The following is a 14,730-nucleotide window of genomic DNA, read 5'->3' as shown; positions in this document are numbered from 1 at the left end:
AGTCTCAGCTACTTGGGAGGCTGAGGAACGAGAATCACTTCAACCTGGGAGGTGGAGGTTGCAGTGAGCTGAGATCTTGCCACTGCACTCTAGCTTGGGAGACAGAGCGAGACTCCAGCTCAAAATAATAATAATAATAATAATATTCCATGACTTTGATCAAACCTGAAGGAACTCCAAAACCAAAAAAAGGTTGAGGGAGGATCTATGTGGCTCTGTGTGCATTGACATAATTTACCTACTCTTGTACTCCGTGCAAACATTAAATGCTGTAAAACTTGGGTTTTCTATTTAATCAAATCATACACATTTAAGGCTTTTGCTTAGCAAATTTATCTGAGCATTGGCTTGACATTTTTTAATTATGTAATCATTAAGATAATCCTTTAGACCCTGGCTTTCGAAGTGTGATCTGCACATCTCTGAAGGTCCTCTGGATTCTTTTGAGGGATCCAAGATGTCAAAGCTATTTTTGTAATACTACTAAAAAATGTATTTTGTTCTTCTCACTGTTTGTCATTTACCCTGCTGATGCAAATGTAATGGTAGGTCTAACTGCTGGTCCCATAGCACAAACCAAGGCAGTGGTACTAAGCTGTGCTAATAGTCATCACTTTCTTCACCTCCACATACTTGCAGCAAAAAAGGAATATTTCAGTCTCACTCAGAATGCTTCTAATGAAGCAACAAAATTTATTATTAATTTTTTAAACATCTAGATTCTGAAATGAACATGCTTTTAAGGTTGTGTGTGACAAAATGGGGAGTATGTGTAAAGAATTTCTGTATTCTTCAATCCATAGCTGTCTTGTGCAAACACACTTGTGCAATTACTTAAGTTGCAAGCCGAACTAGCTGCTTTTTTCATGGAACATTATTTTCTTTTGAAATAGTGACTAACAGACAAACTGTGCTTTTCAGACTTCTGCATTTGGCCAAGAGTTTCGGAAAATCAACAAAATGCACCTGTCCTTTCAAGGAACAAAACTGACAGCATTTGTTTCCAGTAATAGAGTTCAAGCTTTCATGTGAAAATTAGAATTACGGAAAATTTGTATCTGTCCCATGAGTTTGACAGCTTCCCAATTTTAAAAGGCTTTTTTGATGAGATTTGTGGTAATATTAGCAAATGTTATTTTTTTGCATTGAATAATGAAATATGTCAATATTAGGAAAATACTTAATAAACCAATAGGTTCCAAATGACCATTGCATAAGCATTAAAAAATCAAACAAGGGTAAAGATCTATTCCAAGTGAAGATAGGCAAAAATTTTAACCTAAAAGACATGAAATGTTGTTTCAGATATTTCACATTGCAACTAATCTTTAAGAAATTACCGTGTGTTGCGTTTTGGTGTTGCATCAAAGAAGAATGTCCAAAATTATCTGAAATGACTCCTAAATATACTCCTTTTTTTCCATGTATTTCAACCAAAACAACATATCCAAATTACTTAATTAGAGCCCATCTATCATCTAGTAAGCCAAACATTAAGGAGGGTTACAAAAACTGAAAAACAATGCCACTCTTCTCACTAGTATTTATTGCTTTGGTAAGTCTTAGTTTTTATAAATATATATTATTTGTGCCACTGTGTAATGGGTTTATAATTCTCATTTTAAAATAATAATTTAAATTTTTTCCATTTTAATTTCTAAAATGCTATGCAGTGATAATATTAGTCACATTAAACAAAGCTCTTTTAAGTCCTCAATACTTTTTTTATGAGTGTAAAATAGTCCTGAGACCCAAAAGTTTAAGAAATTCTGCTTTAGATATCTAGTCTTAGTGGCTACAAGCTCCATGTCTTATCATCACAGAAGTGCCATGCAGTAGTGCAAAGGCCATAAGGTTGTTGTCTACAGACTTGAGTCTGATCATGACTTACCCATTTACCAGCTCTGTGGTCTTAGCTAATTAACTTGGCATCCCTCAGCCCTCAATCCCTTTACTTGTAAGATGGATATAATAATAACTGCTTAGAATGTTAGACAGTTTCTATGAGTTGCCACAGGTAATTGGCCTATTCCAATGTCTGGAATATAGTAGGCAATAAATACATAGCAGGTCCTTTCTGTTTCCCCAGGTGCCTATATCCATTCTACAATTATGTTGTATTGCCTCTAAATCCTTTAATTTTCCTCCCAATATTACAACAAAAAACACTTGCTTATTTCTTACATAATTAATACCTTCTCTAAATCCCTTCTTTTGACAAAATTTTCTAACCAAAGTAATACACACATATGTATATATTTCAGAATATAATACACACCTATGTATATATATCAGAATATAATATATATACAGAATATATCATAATATATATACAGAATATACATATCAGAATATAATATATATGATGTATATATATTATATCAGAAATAAATGGAAGCACAGGTAATAACTAAGGTCATGCAAACAATAAGCACTGGAGCCAGAACTCTGCACAGTACACCACTGGCTCTGTATGCATCAAGTTAATATATGACTAATGGAAAATTGACTAAGTCACATCAATATCTGCTCATTTTAGAAATTTCAACAGTTTTCCCTCCCTCCTTGCATTACTACCTCCATTGGAAAACAGACAGACCTACCATCATTTATATGGGTAGACCCAGCCAACACACTTACTCCTCTTCTTCCAGGTAGTAGCTTTTTGTAAATGGATTGACTTAAACACAATCAGATAATTGCTTCTGGTGGATAAATAGAAATAATTTAATATTTTCCTTCCACATAATTGCATTTTAATCAATTTATTGGATCAATCCTTTATTATTAATTGTTGCCTGACAGCCTATATTAACTATCTTTAAATTGCCAGGTTTGGAGAGAAAGGGAAATTGATTTTTGCTTATATCAGCATGTTTGTATCCAACAGATACTGGAACTATTTTTTTTTAAAGAACATAATTACATAAATGTCTGACACACATTGTATATAAACTCAAGTAGTAATTTCAAAACACATCATAATTTTTAGAACAGATGCTACAAAGCTACCAGAAGAATCTAAACAAGCCATTTTTGGGTGCCATGGGAATACTTTGCTTAATTTTTTCTTTTTCTTACTTAGGTGTTAAATGACTGTCATTATTTATATCATCTCCTGTGCCTAATCAAGTTAATGCATATCACCAAACATTTTTCTACAATAGGACACAACTTTTAATATTTTCCCCTAGTTCGGTGCAAAGCTTTATAGATTCATGGAATATTAAAGCATAAGGGGCCCTGAGGGACCATCTAGTTTATCCCTCTAAATTTACAGGTGGAGAAATTACTGGCACTGTACATGGTTCACAGTGGGGAGTAGAGGCAGGGATGTGGAATGAAGGAAGGATGGGATTTGGATTTCTTTTTCTAAATTTCCTTGTCAACTCCGGTGACCCTCTGTCTTCAGAATTCTTTTTCTCTACTATGTGTTTTCTTTGATCCCTGTCCCTTTTTCTCTGTCTTGATGGCAACTGAAACAGAGGCTACAGATCTTTCTCCTTTATGCCCCAAAATTCCACTCTCTTGATGCAACCATAGGAAATGGACTTTCACTGGGGATAAGTTGGAGTAATGGCATGAAAGGATTTTGTCTCATCACGATATGGGAGAAGACATTAAGCTGAATATTAGATTTCTCCCTTCTTAAATCTCTCAATGATTCTGGCAATTTCTACCTTCTGGTAATTTCCACCATGTTCTTTATATATCTTCAGCTTATTACCAACTTCTCTCTCTTGTGTCTTCTCCCAGCTCCATACTGCTTTTCTGGGGACACAGTTCTTTAATCTAACTCTGTGTTCCTGCTAAATCATCCCCTTGAGGCCTTACTTTTTGTTAACTTCAGTTTTTTAGTGTATTTTCTTAAATAAAAACAGTTATTTCCCTAACAGTAACTCTGATGCCAACAACAAAATAATATATATATGTTATATTTTATAAATATTATATCTTAGCAGAAGTATACTTAAGGGGCTTTTTGAACAACTGGCAAAAGTGCTTAATTCTACCAAGGGAGGTCACTGTCTTAGTCAATTTGGGCTGCTATAATGAAAAAAATAAAACCATAGACTGTGTGGGTTAAACAACAAATTATATTTTTCACAGTTTTGGAGGCCAGGACTTCCAAGATCAGGGTGCCAGCAGATCCTGTGTCTAGTGAGGGCTCTCTTCCTAGTTTGTAGATGGCCACCTTCTTGCTGTATCCTCACATAGTCAAGAGGGAGACCATCTCTCTTGTGTCTTATATAAGGACACTAATCCCATTCATGAGGGCTCCATTCTCATGACACAAATACCTTCCAAAGGCTCCACCCTCAAATACTATCACACTGAGCATTAGTCTTTAACATATGAATTTGGAGGGGTGGGGCACAAATAGTCCACCAGAGTCAGATAAAGCAACAAGTTTTCTCTGGGAATAAAAGGAGGCAAAATTGGGGAGAAAATTATATCAGGCTAATAGACCAGGTAAAGGTGAATATAGTACAAGTGGCAGATTACAGGGGGTAGAGGGTGCCTAAAGTTCATGGTTCCTATGGCTGGTGGGAGAAAATGATAGGCAGTTGCATACAGGGGCAGATATCAATAGGTCTTCTTATGTTGGTGAGGAATTTACATGAGGATCCAGGGCACTTGGATCTGGTTCATTAACCTCTTTCCCAATCAGACCTGCTCCCCATCCACTCTGGCACTACCTTAGTTGGGTCCGTCACATCTTTCTTGTACTATTTCATTGTTTTAAGGTACAGAGATGAGGAAAAAAATGAGCTTCAGGAAAATAGACCCCTAACTCAGGGTGTTTAGAGGAAAATGTGTGGAGAAGTAGTAAGACTCAAGCTGGAGAGACAAGCAGTAGCCAAGACTCTTTCCAAGGACAACTCTGGCATCCCTCAACTCTCTTTCAGATCCCAGCTAACAAACCACCAACCCAAATGTATTTATGCAAACTCCAGGCAGGAGGATGCTTAACGTAAAAACCCTTCTTCTGACTCTCCTGCAGAAGAAACATAACTAATTTACATTTCTAGCAAATTTCTAGCATAGTATAAAAGTTTATTACAAAAATGCATATCAAAATAACAATATTTTATTGATAGAGATCGAAGAAACTAGTAGAGAAGCTCCATATTTATGAGAACTGGTTGTAATAACTTTAGTTATTTGAGACCATCTGTGCGAACATGGAAATAGCCTCATTATATGTTAACACATAATAGTAGTTATTAAAATTTTATTCTTTTTGTACTGTACTCAAACAAAAAGAGAAACAGAGAACCTAAGGTAGGTTTTCTATGAATGTGGAATCAGAGAAACAAGTATATGTGAAAAGAAACTGCAGAGTTTGCAAATATTTTCTGGAATATCTAAAATTTTTATTAGAAAATCCAAGATGCCACATAGCTAGTGCCAGCTATTGGCCTAACCTTAACCATGCAGACCTGGCCATGCCCTGCATGGGGATGTCCACAGTCATCCAAACCAGCAGGCTGCCTTTTGAAGTGCTCTCTGCCACATCACATGTATACACATGCCTGCATATTTTTTCTCATACACAGAACTATCCTGCAAAATCTGTATTACTCTAAATTTTACAGATGAGACTAAAGTCTCAGCTACTGAATGAGTGCTCAAGACTATAGAATTGATAAGCCAATATATAATTCAGATTCTTGCTTCTCAAAAGCTAGCCCTTTTCTCCTTGCACCTTCCTGTTCTCATGGAATCAGCTTTTCCCATGGGACTTATAAGCTAGTTAGAGTCTTAAAGCCTTTCCCTTGATATATGTTGCAAGAAGATAGCAATAATTTGAACCATCTAAACTTGTGGTTCATAGTTCAAACATGTTTACTATTTACTCATGAAGTTCTTTTGAATACTAGTTGTCCCTACTTTGCAGATGTAAGCTGAAACCATGCAAAATGGTTTTAATAGTCAATGTGAAAATTCTTTCTGTAACTTTTAAAAATTTTTTGTGAAATCATTACTCTTGTCAAGTTTGTAAATGTACTAAAAATAATGAAAATAGTAAAATTAATGTTTAGTATACTATAATTGAAAACACAAACACTGAGGATGAAAGCATTTTATTATTTGTAAAAAATTAATTAAGAGTGCTTTAGGATATGAGGGTGATCTGGCTGAGACGTCTGTTACCCTATTGATCGCCAGGGTTGATTCGGCTGACCTGGCTGGCTAGGCGTGTGTGCTCTTCTTCGCTCACCGCTCTATGTGCATCCCTCCTGTCCCTCCCTAAGTGCACGCTCCGTGGAAGAGGTCGTCCCCCAGAGAAGAGGACCAGTCTTTGAGCAAAGGTATAGGAGTAGCTGCACCCCCATGATACACTCTCCAAACAAGCTCTTTTGTTTTTTAAGACGGAGTCTCACTCTGTCGCTAGGCTGAAGTGCAATGGTACGATCTCAGCTCACTGTAACCTCCACCTCCCAGGTTCAAGTGATTCTCCTGCCTCAGCTTCCTGAGTAATTGTGACTACAGGCGCACACTACCACATCCAGCTAATTTTTGTATTTTTAGTAGGTATGGGTTTTCACCATGTTGGCCAGGATGGTCTCGATCTCCTGACCTCCTGATCTATCCGCCTTGGCCTCCCTAAGCGCTGGGATTACAGGTGTGAGCCACCACGCCTGGCCAACAAGCTCTTAAAAGTAGTTTAGAGCCATGGGTGGCTAGGAGTGGGGACATGGCTGCCACTTAAACAGCAGCAGGCATGAATGCCAGTTGCTGCCGGCTTGGTTCCAGTGGGGACAGTGTCTTTCACGATGAGACGATGAAACTTTAACAGCTGGCACTGGATAATCAGAGAGCACTGCTTAAGAAGAAGCAGAGAAAAAAGCACCTTCAGCCATTCATGGTGCAGCCAAATCCAGAAGTCAGGCTAAGTTGGGTGAAGCCAAAGGCCAATGAGGAGCAGACTCCTTTGATGGACTCTCATACCCCCCACAGCAATGTCGTCTTCATGGCATTGATGGTCCGGCTGCAGTCATGAAGCCAGATGCTCAAGATTTGGAAACCAAAGTTCATGTTCTTTCAGTCAGCTCCCCTGTTCTGGGAGAAAATGCTGAAGAGAGTGTTGATGGGGAAAACACCTTGGATACTGCTTCCAAGCCAGATCTTCAGAAGATTTTCCAAAAACAATAGTATCTCAGATAGTCTGAACTTTGATGAGGAGACTGATGGCGAGGAAGAAGAAGGAAAGAAAATAAGATCCCAGGCTACATATTCAGAAAAAGAAAGACCCAATTCCACATCCAGCCTGCACTCGACCACAGATGCAAATGCTTCCGGTTCCTATGCTGCTGCCCAACCGGCCGGTAACGAGCTGGGGGAAGTGGAGGAACTGGAGGACTTTGCTTCCGTTTTCGATTTTGCAGCCCAACCGCTGCATAACCGGCTGCGAGAAGTGGAGGGCCTGGAGGACTTTTAAGCATAGTCCTGCCCCTTGAAGTGTCACAGTAAGATGTCATATAATCAGGGATAAAAAAAGGAATGGATTGGGGCCCCTGCTCCACTTACTGTATATACTTGGAAAAAGAAGAAAATCAGAAGACATTTCTTCTTACAGCTAGAAAGCGGGAAAAGAGCAAATCATCCAACTGCCTTATCTCCACTGATCCAACTGATTTATCTCGTGAAGGAGAAAGGTATACTGGCAAACTTAGATCTAACCTCAGGGGAACCAAGTTTACAGTTTATGACCGCGGCGTCTGCCCCATCATGGCCGGAGTCTGGTAGGGAAGGCTCACACACGGCAGGAGCTGGCTGTCGTTTCCTGTGAAACAGGTGAAGTGGGATCTGAAGGTCCTAGGAAAATGTCTGTGATCATTCCCGGAATGACGGTGAATCACGAGCAGATCCCATTTCAGCCACGAAATAACGACGGCAGCTTGTTCTCAAGATGGCAGAACAAAACTATGGTCCGGGTGCGGTGGCCCACACCTGTAATGCCAGCATTTTGGGAAGCAGATGCGGGTGGATGGCTTGAGGCCAGGAGGTCGAGACCAGGCCAGGAGGTCGAGACCAGCCTGGCCAACGTGGCGAAATCTTGGCTCTACAATACAAAAATGTACCGGTTCAGTAGCGCGCCTGTCATCCCAGGTATTCGCGGGGTTGAGGCACGAGAATGTCTGGAACCCCGGTGCTGGAGGTTGCAGTGAGGCGAGATCGTGCCACTGCACTCCAGCCTGGGCAGAGCGAGACTTTGTCTCAAAAAAAAAAACAACCAAAAAACAAAACAAAAAAAACAGGTGGCAGGAGAGGCTTTGGGGAGGATTCCCAGTGAACGCGAGCCCTGCAGGCCTAGGCAGGGCTTTGGGCTTTCTTCTTGGCTCCCTGAAGCCTGGATCATGGGCACGAAAGGTGTTTTGCTAAGTTTTTTGGATTATCAGCACCCCTCTGCGTATTATGTGACTCATAGACCAGTTTGCCCTTCCCAGAATGTGTCTGAAACTTGAGAAAGCAAGAGTTCTGTGAGCTCTGCTGTCAGCACCGTTCAGCCACAGCCCTTGTGCACATAACTGCCAGCATTGGGCGAGGCACCTGTGGCGGCTGCTCCCTTTGATGTCCCTTCTGTGGACTGACCTCTCATCCCTGCCTATGCTACACCATATTAGATAAGCATGTTAAGGAGAGCCAACTGGGAGCTGCGAAGACCCTTGGCTCATCTCCCACTGACAAGTCCCACCTGCTGGGTGTGGACAAGACTGTTTCCATCTCAGTCATGCTTCCCCTCAAGTGCCTCCCGCACAGCCGTGCCCAGAAGCCTCACAACTCGTCACCATCACTCCTCCCACACTCTCCACTCCCCTTCCCCACACTGTCATCCTGAGGCACTGCCTGGCAAGCTACCTTCACTGAACACAGAAGCTAAGGAGAACTTAACGGTGGGCCTACTGGACCTCATCCTGTTCTTCCTCCTCCCTCTGGCTTAAAGAGATATATAAATAACCTAATTTCACATAATTCCCGTTTGTGTGTGCAATTATTGGTTTTATATAAGTCCTATTTATACCTTTTATATGTTATAGAAATAAAAGTTAATTTCCATAGAAAAAGAGAGAATAGGCAGTGCTTACCTTCTTCTCATCATAAAACTGACGACATGGAGCCAGCATCTTTTCAATGCTTTATCCGATTGTCATACTCCTTTCTAAATTTAGATCAGCTTGCACCGTTGTATTCTTTGTGTCTTCGATGTCTTGAAGTATCTCTGAGAATTCCTATAATGTGAAGTTTTCTTCTTACCAGCTTCACTTCCTCTATGACATCTTCATTCTTTTCTTCACAACCATTCCTCTCATTTAGGCTGACAAGCTCGCCTTCACTAAGCTCCTCTGGCTGCATACTGAGTCTCTCAATGGCAGCAGCATCAACATTCCCATGGCCGGCTATTGCTTCTATGAATCCATTTATGTTTGATTTGAATTTCACATCCAATGCTATCAATTTTCATTTTTTGTTGGACAGCTTTGTTGGCCAATTCCCTCTCTTGATTGCCTATTTTTATAAAATGTCTCGTAGGTCTATCACTGGGAGACAAAGAGGGAACACAACTACATGCCTTTGTTGTCTGTGTGGAAACTGAACAAATAACAAATGCAACAGTGACCGATCACCAGTACACTTTAAAAGAAGTGATTAGGTTGGTTACTGATCATGATGTACATCTGTTATTTACAAAGTGATTTAAGTAGTGAAGAGCTTGCAGCAAAATTTGTACTTCATGTCATTATTCACAATCTACCATGGGAACTAAAATTTAAACGAAGATGTTGGGTGGGCACGGTGGCTCACACCTATAATCCCAGCACTTTGGGAGGCCGAGGCAGGTGGATCACTTAAGGCCAGGAGTTCAAGGCCAGCCTGGCCAACATGGCGGAACTCCATCTCTACCAAAAATACAAAAATTAGCCAGGCATGGTAGTGCATGCCTGTAATCCCAGTTACTCAGGAGGTCGAGGCAGGACAATCACTTGAACCCAAGAGGCAGAGGTTGCAGTGAGCTGAGATCATGCCACTGCACTCCAGCCTGGGGGACAGAGTGAGATTCTATCTCAAAAAAACAAAAAACAAAACCCCTAAGTTGTTGGGGCACTGATGTTATTCAACTAAACCATGATGACTGAAATTCACGCAAAGTGGAGTCATGTACAGTGAGGGCTACCTATATAAACATAATCAAACCCTGGAGTATTCTGGGATGGACTCCACTTTTTTTTTTTTGTCATATTGATTACTTTCCTTCCTTGTGTCTCTGACCTCAAAGGCAGTAGAGGGTGATGGCTTAACTGATCCTGGAGTTAAATTGCCTTTGGTTGCAGACTAGACTGCCGGTTCCTGTCTGGAACTTGTCTCACACCTGTTTTTCTCTGCTCCTCTATTTTCTCATCTGGTAAAACTATAATAATGACCAACCCTATCTTGTAGAGTTTTGTGAACATTGCATGAAAGAATCTATGTAAAACCCTCAGCATGTATCAATCACAGAATAAAAGCCCAGTAAACACTTTTATTTTAATGACATTATTACTCATAGTAGGTGGTTCTGAAAAGTTATTTATTTAACAAATATTTATTGATGTTCTGCTATGTATTTGTTGCTGAGAATATAGTGGGGAAAGGTTTTTCCCCATAGAGCTTACACTCTAGTGAGGCAAACATGATTTGTTCATTAAAAATTAATATTCATTTAGAAAGATAAAAAATAAGCCTATGAAAAGATAGAAACATATAAAACTAATAGAAAAATAATTTCAGATACATCATGCTAAATGCTTTTTTAAAAGTGAGGTTGTAAAACTGTTAAGTGCAGAAGAAAAAAAATAAGTGAATTTTTTGGACAGCCTAAGAGCTCTGCCCATGCTTTAGGTACCTGAGAAAGAGTCACCTTTAGTCTTTCCCAACACAAATCTTTAAATCTGCCCTTTAGAAAATTATTTCCATGATGATGTATTTGCCTAGTTCTTGAAGTGAAAGAAAAAAACTGATTTCACCAATATTTACTTATTGCTGTTAACAGATCTAATGTTGAACAGCAGTTGGCCACCTCTGTACCCATTGCGAGTTTTTATCTTCTTTTACAGATGAGTGTATTTGACTATGTCATCCCAGACTTTCCTTACGATAAGCTGAGGTATTTGCTCATATAAATATTTCAGGAAGCAATACAAGGAGACTTGGAAGGAATGCTTGAAGAGGAGATAGATCTATGTCCAGATCCTCCTCCTATAACACTTAGATGTGTTCTCCCTGTTCTTTAAGCAGAAAAACAAAAAGCACAGTTCTAAAAATACTTTATCAGTGCAATATTTCCAGATTTGAAGACTTTTAGAGAGGGCCTAAAAAGGGCCCAGCTAGGGGCTGACAGAGTAGCTGCCCTGTCTTTAGAATGCAGGCTATGAAGGGGACATCAGGCTCTCATCGTAGCACACATGGAATGTGGGAGGAAGCATTCTCCATGAATATCTTTGTATTTTGAAGAACCTTAATTATAACAACAGTGGTATTTTGACAATTCTCTCAACAATGTGGAGGAAAGGAGGCTTGGTGCTCAAATGATGTATTTCCTTGATTACTCTGAAGCTTCTCTTCATGTGGAGAGGGTCTTCTTGCAGTGTGAGGCAGACCGCTTGGGCATTCAAGGAGAAGGGGTCGGTCCTGTTCCACAAGGCAGATTAGCTGCAACCATATGCACGTACAAAAGGAATAATGAGGGTAAAACCACACAGTAGCGATTGTGAACTTTCTGCTTCCAAATTCTCCCAAGCTTTGAAGTAGGCGAAGTACAGGGCCTGCTGTCTCTGCTGAACAAATAGTAATGGTTCCAGCTGCATCCTCTCCTATACCATCCACTATTCCTTCAAAGAACTGAAAATAGAAGAAGCCAGCTTTCAAATAAAAAGTGCATATCCCAGCACTTTGGGAGGCCGAGGCGGGCGAATCACAAGGTCAGGAGATCGAGATCATCCTGGCTAGCACAATGAAACCCTGTCTCTACTAAAAATACAAAAAATTAGCCAGGCATGATGGTAGGCGCCTGTAGTCCCAGCTGTTTGGGAGGCTGAGGCAGGAGAATGGTGTGAACCCGGGAGGCAGAGCTTGCAGTGAGCCGAGATCACACCACTGCACTCCAGCCTGGGCGACAGAGAGAGACTCTGTGTCAAAAAAAAAAAAAAAAAAAAAAAAAAAGTGTGCGTCATTGTTGGTGGATCAGGTGGGCATCTTGGTGCAGAGGGTTGGGGTGTGTGGCTTGTGAAATGAAGTTTGTTTTGAAAAATGGTAATGCAATCTTCTTCAGAGAAATTCATGTTTAAAGAATGCTCAAAACACTGAAAATAAAATTTAAAAAGAAAAAGAGGATCAGCAGTAAAGCTATTAGGAAATACAGGTCAAAATCAAGGATTAATTAACTCGATATATATTTAATGAGAAAATACTTTATGCCAGGCAGGGCTGCTGTGTATGACTGTGCAGTGTGTAGACTGCAGAAGAGCACTCAGCTGCTCACAAAGAAACTATATAGGGTGGTGGAGGCCCTAGAGTCAGACAAGTTCTTCTGTCTGGGGATAAAATGGTGAATCAAATAGAAAAAGTCTGTCTCCTCGCAGAGCGTACATTTCAGTGCAGGATGCAGACACATTAGTAGGCATGTATATGACAGTGTGTTGAATGTCATGTATGTGGAGTGTCATGGGTGCATGGAAGAGGACCTTGATCCACAGAGAATCCTTCTGGAGCGGCTATAGCTGGCACCATGGAGTACAGGCTGACACCTGTACATTTGTTGCTCAAATGACATATTTCCTTAATTATTATAAAGGTTGTCTGCATGTGGAGAAGATCTTCTCCCAGTGTGAGGCAGAGAGCTTGGGCATTCAAGAAGGGGCAGTTCCTGTTCCATAAGGCAGATTAGCCACAACCACATGCCTGAACAAAAGCAACAATGGGGGTAAACCCACACAGTATGTGAGCAATGGGAGTGCTTCAGACAAAGGGAGTGAAATTGGCAAAAGCTGAAGCAAAAGAAAGGCCTGATACTTTCAAGCCTCTGACTGAATTCAGTTTTAAGTGGAGCATCAAGAGTAAGGATGGAGAAGGAGCTGGAGAGGGAGGTAAGGGCTTGCTCACGCACAGCCCAGTCAACCATGCTAAAGTGTTTGGAGCAGTGAGTGAATGTTTGCAAGCAGGAAGGGGGAAGGGTCCCAGGATCTGCATTTTGCAAAGACCATTATGAATGCCAGGTCCAGATTGATTTGAGAGGAACAAGAGGAGAAAAAGGATGCATACCACACATTGCAGATTTTACTTTGGAAGCTTGTAAATAGTCTATTAAAAATTTTAAATAAATTAAAAAGGAATTAGTTAGAATTGAAAGTAAAATTCCATAAATGACCTTACCCATTTATCCACTTGGTGACAAAACCACACAGAGAAAAGTTGTTCTAAGTGATTTTAAAAAACGTAAATGATTGTGTAACCCCAGAGGGATATACCCCAAGGAAAAAAATTCCCTGCAAAAAATCACTTAAACTGTTTTCAGTAATTGTTGGAGGAAATGTTAATATAATTATTCTGAGATTTTTAATCTAATATATGTAAAGCCATAAAAACATTGTAATTTTAAAGGAATTTAAAATTTGTAATACAAGAACAAGAAGGAACTGTGTTTGTATTACAAATTGTAGAGACTTAAAATTTTTTTTTTAGGGAAAACACGTGAACAACATTTTTGGTGATAACAGGTGGGGCCCAAGGGTAGTCTAAAGTGGGAAGACAGAGACAAAAAAGCAAAATTATTCTACAAATTAAATAATAAGAAATTTCTGTTTTTTCTTAACAGCTCAAGAAGGAAGGAGAATTTGAGGAAGGCTGAACTCAGAGAAGAGAGGTGATAAAATAGAGAGAAAGGTCTCTGGAGAGATCAGCTACACCGTAGCCAGCTGGGACCTGTGGAGGACGAAGATCATTATGATATTCCCTGCAGCAGGAAGCAGCAAATGAACTGTCAGGCCAGTGAGGTCTGACACCCAATTATAAGTTGTCAAATATATACACAGCGTCTTTCCATCATACCTACATTTGTTAACGTTATTTTTATTTACCTTCTGTTTTGTGTCCAGCACTGATATTGTGCTAAATCCTTCAGACAAAGTTTGGTGCTTTCATGACCTGACTATGTGTTTGCAGTAAGTGTTTGGAGAAATGAGGGAGATGAGAGAAGAAGTGCTGTGTATGTTCACATTTTGGGGCACAGCAGTCCCCAGATCAGCTGGGGAAGCAAGGTGAGCTAGTGACAAGTTGGCCAGAAAGTATAGATGAGCAGCAAGAAACAGGAGTGGAGAGAGACAGGGTGAACCGGGGGGTGGGAGAGAGAGCTGGAAGTCTTAAGATTAAGCCAAGAAGTGTGGCAATAAGATGTTGTCACTCTGAGATGGCAGGGAGAGTTAGTCATCATATTATGCCATATTAGATATTTATAATTGCTTGAGAGTCATACCTATGGATGTAATCTCTGCTATGCACCAACTAGCCATGAGAATTGTGGGCAAGCTATTTCATGTCCCAGAGCTTCCTCAATTTCTTACTCTGTAAGTTTCTCCTTTGTTCTTATTTGCTTCATGGCACTGGTTGACCCCATCTGTTCCTGCTCACACACAGCCAATGGATCCACAACACACAACTGCATGGGCCCAGAGGTGGCGGGCTTCACTC

At 40.2% G+C, this 14,730-nt stretch overlaps 1 long non-coding RNA gene and 2 pseudogenes across 1 annotated transcript in view; all 3 read left to right on the top strand.

Annotated features, from left to right (window-relative positions):
- Nucleotides 1–14,377, top strand: part of LINC00359 (long intergenic non-protein coding RNA 359) — a 42,892-nt gene extending 28,515 nt beyond the window's left edge. The window contains exon 3 of the long non-coding RNA NR_051966.1: nucleotides 13,859–14,377. This is a non-coding gene — a long non-coding RNA (long intergenic non-protein coding RNA 359). The remainder of the gene's footprint in view (nucleotides 1–13,858) is intronic.
- On the top strand, nucleotides 6,125–6,409 carry RN7SKP7 (RN7SK pseudogene 7; annotated as a pseudogene).
- On the top strand, nucleotides 7,374–9,063 carry TULP3P1 (TUB like protein 3 pseudogene 1; annotated as a pseudogene).
- Nucleotides 14,378–14,730: the final 353 nt, after the last annotated feature.

This window comes from Homo sapiens, chromosome 13 (genome assembly GCF_000001405.40).
Source record: "Homo sapiens chromosome 13, GRCh38.p14 Primary Assembly".
NCBI classification, from domain to species: domain Eukaryota; kingdom Metazoa; phylum Chordata; class Mammalia; order Primates; family Hominidae; genus Homo; species Homo sapiens.
Note: the sequence above shows the minus strand (reverse complement) of the source record. Positions and strands in the feature narration are given on the sequence as shown.